This window comes from Homo sapiens, chromosome X, assembly GCF_000001405.40.
Source record: "Homo sapiens chromosome X, GRCh38.p14 Primary Assembly".
Lineage (NCBI taxonomy): Eukaryota > Metazoa > Chordata > Mammalia > Primates > Hominidae > Homo > Homo sapiens.
The window spans coordinates 20232762-20248307 of NC_000023.11; the positions used below are offsets into that span (position 1 = coordinate 20232762).

General features: G+C 35.1%; 1 protein-coding gene across 14 annotated transcripts in view; it reads right to left on the reverse strand.

Annotated features, from left to right (window-relative positions):
* RPS6KA3 (ribosomal protein S6 kinase A3) overlaps positions 1–15546 on the reverse strand; it is a 117187-nt gene that overhangs the window by 82851 nt on the left and 18790 nt on the right. For 10 of the 14 annotated variants that reach the window (XM_011545561.3, XM_017029719.3, XM_047442335.1 and 7 more), the window contains exon 2: positions 1997–2053. In XM_011545561.3, the coding sequence (XP_011543863.1) occupies positions 1997–2038 (42 nt within the window). In that variant the 5' untranslated portion in view covers positions 2039–2053. Of the gene's footprint in view, positions 1–1996; positions 2054–7807; positions 7845–8831; positions 8926–15546 lie in introns of all 14 variants that reach the window. The other 4 variants (XM_047442336.1, XM_047442334.1, XM_011545560.2 and 1 more) reach the window with 2 other exon arrangements.

Consider the following 15546-nt stretch of genomic DNA (forward strand, 5'->3'; position numbering starts at 1 on the left):
CTGAGCAAAACATAAAATAACAAATGCCAATAATGATGGATACTCAACTTCACTAGTAAGCAAATGAGATGCAAATTAAAATGGGAAAGTCAGCCAGGCATGGTGGCTCACGCCTGTAATCCCAGAACTTTGGGAGGCGAAGATGGGTGGATCACTTGAGGTCAGGAGTTCGAGGCCAGCTTGGCCAACATTGTGCAACCCCATCTCTACTAAAATTGCAAAAAATCAGTCAGGCGTGGTGACGGTTGCCTGTAATCCCAGCTACTCGGGAGGCTGAGGCAGGAGAATGGCTTGAACCTGGGAGTCGGAAGTTGCAGTGAGCTGAGATCACACCACTGCACTCCAGCCTGAGCAGCAGAGCGAGACTCTGTCTCAAAAAAGAAAAAAAGAAAAAGACAAAAAGGGAAAGTATTATTTATCTAGAGTCACTCAAATTAAAAATATTTTCTGATAATACCTAGTGTTGAGTAGGCAATACTCAAACAAGTATTCTCATATACTGAAATTTTGACAGGAAATTTGACAAATGTCTATTGATTTAAATGTTTATGCCCTTGGTTTCAGTACATCCTTTTCTAAGACTATAGCCTACTGAAACACAAATTCACAAAAACAGGGGAAAATTACATTAAATATAGGATATTCATAAAATAGAATACTGTAACTGTGTAACCACTTAAAAAAGAGGTAGATCTGGCTGGGCATGGCGGCTAACACCTGTAATCCCAATGCTTTGGGAGGATGAGGCAGGAGGATTGCCTGAGGCCAGGAGTTCAAGACCAGCCTGGGCAACATAGCAAGACCCCATCTGTACAAAAAACACAAACATTAAAAAAAAAATTAGCTGGGTGTCGTGGCATGTGCCTGTAGTACTAGCTACCAAGAAGGCTGAGGTGGGAGGGTTGCTTGAGCCCAGGAGTTTGATGTTACAGTGAGTCATGACTCTACCACTGCACTCTAGCCTGGGTGACAGGGAGAGAGACCGTGTCTCAAAAACCCCCCAAAACAAAAAAACAAAACAAAGAAGAGGTAGTTCTATATGTACTGTCATACAAAGATGTTCAAGACATGTTAAGTAAAAAGAACAAGTTGCAGAATATGTATTTTGTAAACGTAAATAATAATTATCTTACGTACAAAATATCAAGATGACTATAACTTAGCTGCTGACAATGGTTATTCTGTGTGTGGTGGTAGGGAACAATTTATTAATTCATTTATGTAATATTTAATGAGTATCCATTATGTGCCAGGCACATTGGTTTAGTTACTGGGGATTCAGGAGTGAACAACAACAAAAAAACCAGATGAGGAAATGGTGAATGTCCACTTTCTATGTTAAACGTATCTGTAAAGTATGACCTTTATATTTTTGTCTTTAACAAATTTACGTTCAATTTGGTTATTTAAAAACATAAGCTTCAGGCTAGGCACATGGCTCACGCCTGTAATCACAGCACTCTGGGAGGCTGAGGTGGGCAGATCACCTGAGGTCAGGAGTTTGAGACCAGCCTGGCCAACTTGGTGAAACCCCATCTCTACTAAAATTACAAAAATTCAAAAATTAGCCAGGTGTGGTGGTGAGCGCCTGTAATCCCAGCTACTCAGGAGGCTGAGGCAGGAGAATCCTGTGAACCCAGGAGGCTGAGGTTGCAGTGAGCCAAGATCGCGCCATTGCACTCCAGCCTGGGCGACAAGAACAAAACTCCATCTCAAAAAAATCCCCAAGAAACAAAAAAACATAAGCTTTAGGCACTAATGAAAAACTTTCAACAATATAAAGCAATTTGTTTTATCATTCTCTTAAAATCACTCTTATCAAACAGTTTTTAGAAAGGTCCCTGGCATACTCAATAATGTAGTCTGGTAAAGTTAATGTGAAAGGATCGACAAGTTTCTAACACTGTAAAATGATTACTCTGCTCAGCTGAAAAATAATAATAACTTTACAGTATTTCATTTATCTATACCCTTTGTGATAAAATATTTTACTTACAGTTTGTGGGTTAATCTCCTCCTCTCCCATAGGTTCATCCATAATTTGCTGTCCATTCTGTGAAAAGCACAGCAAGCAGGAAGTTACCAAAACAGACCTCACATCAGTTAAAGTTAAATGAAGGCAGACAAAAAAAAAAAAAATTGAGGAAGATTTTCACCCCTAAAGGGCTCTAATGAAGTAGAACCACCATATGAGTATGCAGTTGCTAAATTTGCAACAGGATGTGCTTCAAAAGTTAATTATTTGAAACTATAAAAACATTTTTTCATGGAAATCATATAATAAATGATTATTACCTTTCCACGTGAACCCTTGAGTTTAATAGTTAAATGCATTACAAATGGTCTCATTTAAGCCTCACCAAACATCATTACAACAGTGTATGGCAAAACACACTCTAAATTCCAACTCCATTCATAATTAATCAAGGGAACTGATTAATTATTTCAGAGAAAATTAAGCCCAATCTCTACATCAAAATAAATTCCAGATGGATTAAACATTTAGATGTGAAAAAATAAAATTGTACAAGTATTAGAATACAGGTGAACAATACTCATGGGGTAAGGAGGGTTGAAATCATAAAGAAAAAAATGACATTTGAATCTATAAAAGTTTAAAACTTCTGCCAGACACAAAAAAAGATAAAAGACAAACTGATTACAAAAAAAAAAGGCAACATATAACAAAGGGTTGGTATCCTCAATACATAAAGAGCTTTGTTTTACAAACCTGTAAGAAAAAACGATGAACCTCAACAGAAATGAGCAATAAGGGAAAAAAGAGTTCAGCCTTAGTACTCATCAAAGAAATGCATTTAACCCAAAGACACCTTTTGCCTTTCAAATTGGTAATGATTTACAAAACAAAAACAAAAACAAAAACAAAAACAAAAAACCATTCAGTATTAACGAGGGTACGGGGGAGAGAGCACTCTGGACATACTGCTGGAGAAAGTGTGAATCAGCACAAACTTTCAGGAAGGCAATCCGAGTCCATATTTTAAAAAAACCAAAATACCACACATAAAATTTTGAAATGTCTCATCAATTCTACTTCTTTTTTAAAAAAAGTAGACAAGTGTACAAAGATGTACATACAAGAATGCTCACCATAACTTTTATTCCAAAAAGAACTTCAAATTGGAAACCTAAATTCCTAACAATAGAGAACTAGTTAAATATATTATGGTACATCCTTATAATGGAATACTATGCAGTCATTAAAATGATGATAAAGGTGTAAATTCATTGACATAGAAAGACAGTCACATGTAAGAAGTGAAAAAGCAGTCTACAAAACAATATGGATTGTAATGATCCCATTCTAAATAAATATATACATATTCCAATGTATATATTTTTATGGGAAAAACTCTGGAAGGATATACACCAAAATGTTAACAGTGGTTATCTCTGGGTGGTAGAATTTTAGACAATTTAAATTGTTTATTTTTGCTTATTTGAATATTCTAATGTGTCTACAATGTCTACAATGAATACGTATTATTTGTGTAATTTTTAAAAACCACAAAAACGGAAGTCAGGAACACGTAGCTTCTTCTCTCATTCCCTTACTGGAAAAAGGAGTAGTCCCGACTATTAATTCAACAAGTATACAAGGATCTAAGCTAACCATCTTTGGAACATTATCACCTGGGAAATAAAAGGCAGCCCACCTATCACCTCATACTTCACATGAGGCAGCTGCTCTAAATATGAACTCCCCTCTTTGTTTTTCTCATCCCTATTTACCATCCATCCATTCATTCATTTCATTCAAGCTATGTTCTAGGCACTGAGCTGGAGACAGAAGTTAATAAAACATAGCCCCTATCTTAGAAGGTCTACTGACCTTATACAAAGGGCACCTTTCATTTTCACCACTCATAGAAGATGTTCCTAGATGAGGGAATGCCTATATAATACTATGAAGCACAGAAACAGTGCCAAAATTCAGGAAAAGGTAGGGAGGCAAGTATAAAATCTTTATTTTCCTAAGGTATGTTCAAAGGCTATAACACTGCCCATTTCTTTGGTATAAAGATACTCATGTATCTCCAGAATATTTCTTTTTCCTCAAAGTGACAACCATTTATTCAACTGACTGACTACTGGTTGTTCTTATCCAAATGTCCCAAAGAACTAGCTCCTAACAACTGCGGCTCTGTCGTCCGACATAGAGATTCAAATTCCTGTCTCACCCTATTAATTATGAAGTCTTGGACAGGTTCTTTCAACAATCTAAGCTTTTCAGTTTCTTCATATGGAAAATGAAGATTGAAAAGTCTTATCTTCAGAGGGTTGTAGTAAAGACTAAATGAGTTAAATGATATAAAACCCTAACCATAGTGTCTGGCACTTAGTAAACAATCAATGTCAGTTAGTTTTCTTACGTCCAAAATTCAATTACCTCACCTCTGGCCCACCAATCTGCTCCCTCTCCTATATTTGTCATCTTAATGAATGGCACCATCATTCATCTAGCAGCCCAAACCAGATTTTTTCATTAATTGTAAACAGTTATCTTTCTGTAACACAGACTTGCCCCCATGACTCCCCATTGTTTGGCGTTTAGAACCCTCAGTCTAACTTGAGCTACACGTACGTTTTTCATAGGAATAAAATTTAAGAACCATCTGTTCCCTGCAATTTTTAATGTATGCAAAGCAAGTGTCACAACTTATAACTTACTTTTAAAGAAAACTGGTACAGGAGAAACAGCACTAAACTTGGAATTCGCAGACCAAGGATAGAGCCCTAGGCTGCTGCTTATAAGCTTTATGATTTGAGGCAATTCAGATTTTCTCTTAGCCTATTACTTTACCTGTTCAAAATAAGGATACTTGTCCTATCTACCCAAAGGATTATTACCAGGCTCAAAAATGAGATAATTCAGAAGAAAGAACTTTATAAATGTTAAAGAGCTGTACCAATGCACATTATTACTAAGGTGAGGTAGCTTCATGAGGATAAAATACTCTGTAAAGTCCTTTTGATCTTGGAATTTAAAAAATCTTTGAATTGATAAGGCATCTCAACAGTCTTCTGTTCCTACTACACATAATATGTTTCAACTCTTTCTACTCCATTCTTACTTACGCTTCAATACTACCAGGACAAGAATGTACTACCTCACTAGGCACTATAATATCTCTGAGAAAGTACTGCCTGCTACATGAAATTTTTCATTATATAGCAACTTTCCTCAGCTGTGAATTCTCTTTAAGAGGATTACTAATAAATGATGACTAACTTGCCTGTACTCTATCTGCAAAGTCACAGGAAGTAAATCTACATCTATGACTCTAATCCACCCTGAAACTTATCTTTTCTAGATAACTTAAGTTCCTTCAAACATTTCTTTAAGACAGATAAGACTCATCACCATCTTCTTCTCTGAACACACTCCAAATCATCTTAAAGGGTGGTATATGGAATTGCATGTAATTAACATTTCAACCCTCAAACGACCAATGCAGAGTAAAGGTCATATTATCTCCCTTGTCCTAGAAAATAAACTTATGTTAATGCAGTTCACATATGCATTATTTTTGGAATGCCCTCAACACAATGCTGACATATCAAGTTTTCTGATTAAATCCTTGTCTTGCACTGCAACCACACCCTGCATACCTGTTGTTACTCTTAGTTCCATGAATAAAACTTTATTTAAAATTTTTGATTCATCTTTTTCCAGCTCTCATCCATTGCTACAGTCTCTATATATTAGATTCCAAATCTGTCAATCAGCCTCTTCACTATTTTCAGCTTCACGTCATCTCAAATTTTACAATAAACTTTCTTTTCTCAAATACTCACCCAGCTAATAGTATAGTATATACTAACAAAGCAACCTAAGAAAAAAATTGAGTGAAACATAATCTGAAGGGTATTTTATGCTCTACTTTTTGTAAAAATAGCTACCTCCTGAGTTTGGCAATAATTTAAAATGTTGAACAATTTAATTTTTAAAGCAGCGAGCCAACATTATCCTACATACCAGTGCAGCTTTACAAAGCTTTTTCTACCAAAAAAAGCACCTTTATTTAAATGAAACTTTTCTATCACTTCATCAAAACAAGGATTCAAATGTTATCTATTAGAAATGAGCACAGAGTTACTTCTACAGTTAAGTTTCCCATTTGGAAAATGACGGTTGGTTTTATTAGAGATTAGGTTACATGGATTATGAGTCTTACTCAGTATTTTACTTTCTATTGTTTCCTAAGTTTAAGGAATAGTACTTGTTAAACAAGAAAATATATTTCTCTAATTTTAAAAAACAAGTGGGAAAAAATGTGTTCTAAAGCTGGTCAGTACCACATTTAAACCCCAATTCTGTCACTTACTGGTGTAGTTACCTGAACTTGGGTAAGTTATTTAACATTTTGAGCCTCAGTTTCTTCACTCACAAGATGCACATAATATCTACCTCACAGGGATGTTGTAACTAAAAAGATCCACCAAGAGACAGTCTATGTTCAGTAAATGTTACTTCTTCTCCTCTCTTTTGCCTCAATTGACTGTGTAACATTACATTTCTATAGGTAACTTCTAAAGATGTAATGCAATGAAGAAGTATCGGAGAGTGTTGAAACACCTGTTCCATCATTCACTACAGTCAATTTTCCACTAAGCAGGGTGGAAGAGATCATTTATGTATGTGCTATATTTTTATACAATGTAGCTAGAGAATGAGTATGGACAAAAAATAGTTTAAAAGTGAGGCAAATGTATTTATCCTCTCTCATCCCACCATAATGCCTTCCAGCCAAAAAATTTCAGAGCCTGGCAGATTGTATATATGCAAATGTGATGTGAAATACTGGAAAAGGTTAGGAAATGCTAATCATGCTTTACTTTGTTAGCCTGAAATGTGTATAAAGTCACACATTAGATAACCTACAATATGGGTCTCATCAGAACAAATCAGATAAAGGAGACTGTTCCCTTGACTTTCAGCAGGAATTGTTTTCAATGTTGTAAAAAATTATCACCTAAGATCATCTTCCAGGCTTAAAGAGGAAGAACAACTCCAATCAGTATTTCTGAATCAAGGTTTCAGGAACTCTAGAGTATTCCTAACTATTTTATGGAAAATTCTGAGGTTAAAAATATTTTGTTAATTTAAAAACTTTCATTTTAAGCAACTTTATTAAGCAGATTGCTTTGTTGTAATGGCATGATACAACAATGTACTTTTCCAGGCTGCTGTTTGATACCTCTGAAAATATATAATTAGTTAAAAAATACTTTGATTTCAGCAGGAGATCATCATGTATAAGTATGCTAGGACCAAAAGATGATCTGTGACTGATAAAATGCTACCTTGAACTCAGCAGGGTATATCATCTACTGACATTCTCCTACCTAGAAATGAAATGGACGTACGGACATTAAGAGAAGAATCTTCAGAGAGAGTAACAATCTGAAATAACAGGAAGGGAAGAGGAAAAGAAAAGATCCAGAGCCCTAGTATATTAATATGGAGACCCAGGCTGTAGGAATGAACAAGGACCATACTTTTTTTTTTTTTTTTTTTTTTTTTTTTACCACCCTCAGGTTTCCACAAGTATATCTACTTTCCAAACTCCCTGATATCAGCAGTGGTTTTCCTGTCCAAAAGCTTACACAATAGGAATTCCATCATGAAGGTGCTGAGCATGAGGCATTAGAAACCTCTCTCAAACTTTGGTTAAGATACCACCAAATTGTTCAGAATCCAAAGAATCTTCTATGCAATCACAATGAAACAATAAGAAACAAGCACTTTATATTCTTAATAAGGAATGTATATAATCCTTACCAATGTGACAGGATTAAGAATCAGCTCCTCATTTATCCTAAGGAAATATCAGAGATGTGCATAAAGACTTATGTACAGTGATATTCATCATACTCATTATACTGAAAAATAGAAAACAATCTAAATGACCAACAAGGGACTGGTTAAATAAATCATAATACATCTATTCATATGTAGGAATACTATGCAATGGTTAAAATCAGGGCCTCAAAGAAAATTTAATGATGCAAAAAATATGCTTGCAATATATTACATTAAAAAGGATACAAAACTATATAGTATGACCCAATTTTGCATCCCCTCCTCCCAACATGTGTGCATGTAGCTGGCAAAACATATATAAAATCTTATCAGTCGTTACCTGGGTCACAGGCTTTTCTTCTTTGTAATGTATTTTCAAAGTTATATGCACTTATTATGTATTAATTTTATAAAGAGAAAAACAATACATGTAATTAGAAAAATCAGTTTATTTCTAGTTAAGGTGCCCTTATGCCTGCTTTACTATTCCTCTAGCTACTTAAGGTCTGTTAGTACCCAACATTGTTCTATTTTCTAGATGAGGGTAGGAATGACCTCTGGTTATATTTACATTTTTATGTTTAAGAGGACCCTTTCAGAAACTTTTTTTTTTCCTGGTCCTGTGGTTGTGGCCAAGTTTCAGGCTGGGATCCACCTCATGTTTTTTGAAGTGTTACCGTCTAAGGGGGATTCTGCTTATGAAACAAGAGTATGTTGAGATAAGAATAAAGAAATGAAAACATAGTAGCCAAAATTAAATCTGCACTGTGAATAGCAAGTATTAGAATTGACACTACAGAAAACGGAATCCATGCCACAGAGGACAAACTTGAGTAAATGAAAAAAAAAAGAAAGAAAGAAAGAAAGAAAAGATTTAAAGAAACTATGGAAGACAGACATAGAAATAATCTATGAATAACAGATGTTCCTAAAGAAAAAAAAAAACAGGCAGTTTAATCAATCAAAAGTATAAGAAAACTTTCCAGTTCTGAAAAAAAAATACCTGAGACTGGAGACTGAGAAGGTTCAACAGAGATCATCAACACCAAGACATGTCCTGGCAAATGTTTTTAAATTTCAAGGATAAAGATATAATCCTACAAGCATACAAGCAGAAAAAAATAGGTTATTTCAAAGGAACTGAAATCAGACTGACCTCAGATTTCTCCTCTGCAACAATAAAATGCCAGAAGACATTGAAGTAATCACTTACAGAGAATTGAAAAGGAAAAGTTATGATCTAAGAATTTTATACCTCATTCTAGTTTTTCGTGTTCAAAGCTCACAGGAAATTATTCTTAGATCTGCAAAGTCAAATTTTCACCATCCTGGTAGTTTTTTAAAAAAATAAATTGTTCAAAGGTACATCCTAGACCATCAAAAGAGAATAAGAGATAAAGAATATTGAGGTAGGAAAGAACTGGTGAAGTATACTGACACCAACCTAATATCTAGAAATAACTGAGTAAAACAGTTAATCCCACTAAAAGAAAAGGGTTCAATAGTGAAGAATAATTGATATAAGTATATAAACAATATAAAAGAAAAAACACTTCAGAAAGTTCAAAGTAGGATTTGTAACATCAGGTTAAATTAATGTGAACTCAAAATAAAAGAGGTAGTGGGAGAAGCCAAGATTCTAAATTCTCTTTCCTAGAAGGATATTTTAAAACCATTAGTTTTAGTAGTTATCCAGTAAATACAAATTTTGGAATGTTTTGAAAAACCATACAGTAACCAAGAATAGATATTACAGTTCGAATCACTAAAGATAATAACTGGCAGAGACTATTAACAATACTTTATGCAGGCATCACATTCAACCCTAAGAACATGAGTCAGGTATAATTATTCCTATTTTATAGTTGAGGAAACCAAGGCTCAGCAAAGTTAATTACTGAATGGCAGAAGCAGGATTCAAACCCAGATCTTTTTAGCTCCGTAATTCATTCTTCTATATTTCATAAGCTCCTCAAACAAAACAATTTATATGGAAGAAGAAAAAAACCTCACAAGAATAAAAAATGTAAAATAATATGACGGAAACCATTCCAAAAGTAATAATGTAAGAAATGTAAAGTTTAAAGTGTTTAATTATACAAGGAAGTGGCTTGCTGGATATTAGATGTCATTAAAGAATTACTGATGTTTTATGAGTGATGATAGTAAGGTCCTTATGAATTTTAAAAGTCTATCTTTTAAGAAGTATAAATGCAAATGTTTATCGGAGGGTGGTTAGGGGAATGAGAAGAGGAAACAGAAATGGAACAAGATTGGCCATGAGTTTGATAATCCTTGAGGCTGGGTTATGGGAATATGTTGGTTCATTACACTACTCTCTCCAGTCTGGTATGTGTTTGAAATGTTTGATAATCATAACTTTAATAATCAGGTTATATTTTTTAAAAAGTAAACCAACAACTATTTACTACTTTAAAGAGAAACCCAAACCAAACAGATAAGTATAAAAAAAAAATAAAACAAGCGTTTATAACATTAATACCAAAAATAAAATGTAAGGCAAAAACCTTAAGCTGAGTTAAAAAAGTCATTTTATTTGGATTAAAGATATAATCAATATTGAGTACACACAGTAAAAATGATTGCTATCATTTACTGAGCTCCACATACCAGGCAAATGCTAAGGACTGTTATCTTTGATGCTTCTTAACCACTCTGTGAGGTATTATCACCAGTTTACAAATGAGGAAATTAAGCCAAGATAGGTATGTCAAACTTTCTAAGCACTGGATCCCCAGTCCCCTAGCAAAATGCCTGGCACACACAGTAGGTGTTCAATAAATATTTGTTGAATACATGAGAAAGTCTAATATACTGCCTAAGGCTAATAAGTAGAGCCGAAATTCAAACCCAAATCTAATTCTAAAACCCCTACTCTTTTGTTTTTTGTTTTGAGATGGAATCTGGATCTGTCACCCAGGTTGGAGTGCAGTGGCACAATCTTGGCTCACTGCAACCTCTGCCTCCCGGGTTCAAGGGATTCTCCTGTCTCAGTCTCCTGAGTAACTGGGACTACTGGTGCGTGCCACCACATCCAGCTAATTTTTGTATTTTTTTTTTTTTAGTAGAGACTGGGTTTCACCATGTTGGTCAGGCTGGTCTCGAACTCCTGACCTCAAGTGATCCACCCGTCTCGGCCTCCCAAAGCGTTGGGATTACAAGCGTGAGCCACCACGGCTGGCCCTAAAACCCCTACTCTTAATCACATAAAAGTCTTTTAATAATATTCCATAGTAAGAGTGCAGAGGTTTATTTCCTTCTCTGTATTTTCTACAATTAGCATGTATCACTTTTTAAGCAAAAAAGTCATTAAAAACAGTAAATGCATAATAGTATTGAACATTTAACCATGACTAAACCAACCACAAAACACAAGAACAGATGCCTTGGAGAATATAACATAAACTAAATGGAAAGAAAATGGATGGGAAAATTTTAGTGCACTAATATCAACTAGCATAATAAATAAGGACAAAGCATTTGAAATAATTTATATTAGAACAGGTAGATACTGAATTTTATAATGTAAAAAGAATATGGGTTGTTTTCAACTTATAAGTTTCTATGAAAAGTTATAAAAACTGACCATGTCACCTAGGATGGAGTGCAGTGGTGCAATCTTGGCTCACTGCAGCTTCAAACTCCTGGCCTCACGCAATCCTCCCACCTCAGCCTCCGAAAGTGCTAGGATTACAGGCCAGTTTAAAATTCTTAAAGGCAGGAATTACACAGGTCACATTTTCTGATTACAATAAAATATTGAATAAGGAAATAAAGCACTCACTCAGAAATTAATATTCTTCTAAATAACTACTGGGTCAAGGAAATAAGTAACAGCTATCATTTATTCATTGCCTATTTTGTTCAAACTACAGTGCTACCTGTGTTACACATATTCTCTCACTGAATCCCAATTAATAATTAAAAATCATCCATGAGGTGAGTTATTACGCAGAGAAGAAAAAAAGTTAGGTTGAGATTTTAATAACTTGTACAAGATCATAGAGCTATTAAATTTGCAGATAAGATAATTAAATTCAAGTTCAAATACAAAGCTCCTACTACTTACATAGAAATGCTGTTATACTGCTGTTAGAGTTCACGTACAAGCATCTAGCTATGCTCATTTTTCTCCATTCATAAAATAGTTTTGTAATAAAAGTGGAGAAAACTAGAGTTCTTCAGCACATGTTCTGAAAGTATTTATTTGTTAAATACACTATTCTAGGAAGGTTATGGTTCATTTTTCTATCATTGATCAGATAAAATACTTCAAATTACATAATCTCCTAAAAGGGATTTCTTTAAATATACTCATTTTTATTAGGACAATGAAAAATGAAAGAAAACATAAAAATTAGGTAAACAAAATAGGGAATATAAGGAAAACATGACTTGCCACTACATTTATTTCTAAAAACTGGTGTATCCTTGGAAAAGTTGCTTTTTTCTGGTATTTATCTGTAATCCATGAGTTCTATGGAATCTTGGCCAGCATGGATTTGAAAGTCTGCCACTAACTGTGGGCAAGCCCCCAAGCCTCTCTAAGTTGTGGTTGCTTCATCCATAAATATGTGACTATCCAGGAGCTCTCCCAGCTTGAAAGTTTTACGATCTTCTATAAAACTTTAAGGATTAAAGTTTTAGATTAAGGTTATTTAAAATTTTGGGGGGTTTTCGTACCCAAGGAAGTTACTGATTCTATGTTTAAAGCTGTTTTTAACGTTACTTCTAAGTATAACTTTTTCTTCCACTTCTGCATTTAGAATAGTTTTATCTATACCTGTCAATGGTGCTTTTGTTCCCCAATGTAAACATAGATAATGCCAAAGAACTCACTGTACGAATGTTGTCAAATAAAAGAAAAAAATACAATATTGGTTTTTGTGCAGATTAAGGGAACTTAAAGCAATTTTATAATTTCCACAATCTGATCTATTATTTTACTAGAGAAAATTAGTAAAGTATCAATTAAAAAAATTGGGATCTACTCCTAATCCTATTCCTGCTTCTCCAATACCTTCAAACCCTCTTAGTACACAATGGCATTGGTAATATTTTCCAATCTGCCTGATGATCAAAATTACCTATGGTTCCTGTTAAAGATATATTACCTGGACCTATCTCAGCCCAACACTGAATCAGAATTCCCAGAAGCCCCATTGTTAAGTATATTATTTTTTAAACAGGCACCTTAGAGGATGCCTGTGATTACACAAGACTGGGAGGCCAGGCGCGGTGGCTCACACCTGTAATCCTAGCACCTTGGGAGGCCGAGGCAGGAGGATCATGAGGTCAGGAGTTCGAGACCAGCCTGGCCAACATGGTGAAACCCCGTCTCTACTAAAAACACAAAAATTAGCCAGGCGTGCTGGTGCATGCTTGTAATCCCAGCTACTCAGGAGGCTGAGGCAGAAGAATCACTTTAACCTGGGAGGCGGAGGCTGCAGTGAGCCGAGATCGCGTCATTGCACTCCAGCATGGGCAATGGCATGACTCCATCTCGGAAAAGAAAAAAAAAAAAAAAAAAAAAGGGAAATCCCAGTGTAAAGATCATGAGCTCTGGAGCCTGATACATCAAGTTTCAAAGCCTGGCTTTGTTCTTTATTATAGGTGTGACTTTGGGTAAGTGACTTAACATGAATCTCAGTTTTCTAATCCATAAAATTTGGATCCTAATTATGCTGGAGGTTGTGGTACAGTTCAGTATGCCCAGCCACACTGGGTGTTTAGGAGGTGTCAGCTTCTCTTTCCTCCTGCTCATCTTGTCAGGGGAAACGACAATTACTGTTATTTGAGGGGATTTTGAAGAGCCCTTTGCCCTAATGGGTCCACTTCCATTTCTAGGGCTAAAAATCTGAGTTCTGGATAACCCTTTAATATATTACTTGGGTTGGCTAATTCAGGGGTCCTACAAACAAGTTAAATGATTTATTCTGGTTTCCAGAGGTTTAATGAAGCCCTCCTACCCAAAATAGATACACCATTATGCTGGGCTTCAAAGTCCAAGCTTTTATTTGCTGTGACTGTGGCAAAAATCATTTAAACCTCTGTTTCCCCATCTGTAAGACAAGTGATGCTAAATGTCTACTGAACTAATAAACATTATTGATAACATAACTATTAATTAACACTTAAACATATATATTCTTACAAACATCTTTATGTACAAAAAGATAGCATTAATAAGTTACAAGGAAAACGATACAATGGTACTTGCTCAAATACACAATAAATCAGAACCTGTTTAACACAATTCTTGTTTGTGTAATATCAACTGTATCTCAATACAAAGTGTCTTAGGCATGTTTTTAGGTGAACTGACTTAGGAAGAAACAATCCAAATGATCCACTCTAATTAAAATATGTATATATATATTTAAAACTCACCCTAGGTTTAAACATAACCTAGTAACAAAGCCATCAAAACTAATTTCTGAAAAGATAACCACAAATGTAGTTTCTAATTAGAGTTCCATGATTAATTCTACATGCATATTTATTAAGCATAAATAAAGAGTATTAATAGGAATGCTTTACTAGGCTGGGCGCAGTGGCTCATGCCTGAAATCCCAGCACTTTGGATAGGTGGATTGCTTGAGGCCAGGAGTTCAAGACCAGCCTGGCCAACATGGTGAAACTCTGTCTCTACCAAAAAATACAAAAATTAGCTGGGCGTGGTGGCACATGTACTCGAGTAGTCCCAGGTACTCAAAGGATTAGGCAGGAAAATCACTTGAGCCCGGGAGGCAGAGGTTACAGTGAGCTGAGATCGTGCCTCTATCTCAAAAAAAACAAAATAGAACACTTTACTAAACATTGTTAAGTTTTAACTGCTCACATAAGCTATAACTTAGAGAAACCTAAGGAAATTTTTAAAAACGAAAAATCTGAGGCCGGGCGCGGTGGCTCATGCCTGTAATCCCAGCACTTTGGGAGGCTGAGGCGGGTGGATCACGAGGTCAGGAGATCGAGACCATCCTGGCTAACACGGTGAAACCCCGTCTCTACTAAAAACACAAAAAAATTAGCCAGGCGTGGCAGTGGGTGCCTGTAGTCCCAGCTACTTGGGAGGCTGAGGTAGGAGAATGGCATGAACCCGGGAGGTGGAGCTTGCAGTGAGCCGAGATTGCGCCACTGCACTCCAGCCTGGGCGACAGAGCGAGACTCCGTCTCAAAAGAAAAAAAAAAAAAAAAGAAAAATCTGAGAATACTTATTCAAAACAAAGGAAAAGTTACCCTCAAATCTTAAAAAAATAAAAAACAAAAAAAACCTTCAAATCCTATTGAAAGTAATTTAAATTACATTAAAGAACCATAGCTTTTTTTCTCATTTTTTCAAATTGTTCTTTAATGCAATTCAGTGATTTTCTTCATTTAGGTCTTGTCCTTTGCTTGTTATATTTCTAGGCATTCAACATTTTTGTCGCTATTATGAATGAGATCTTTTTTCCATTACAGTTTCTGTTTATGGCTCCTAAACAGGAAAGCTGTTTGTTGATTTCTGAATACATTTTGTGTAATATCACCTTAGTAGGCTATCATTTGTTTTAATAAACCTTTTTAGTGGATTTTCTTAGGTTATCTAAGAGGATAATTATATCATATATGAATAATCTTTTATCTTTTTGAATACTCTTTGATTTTCTTATTTAATTGCATTAGCAAGCTCTTCTAGAAGGTAAAATAGAAGTGAA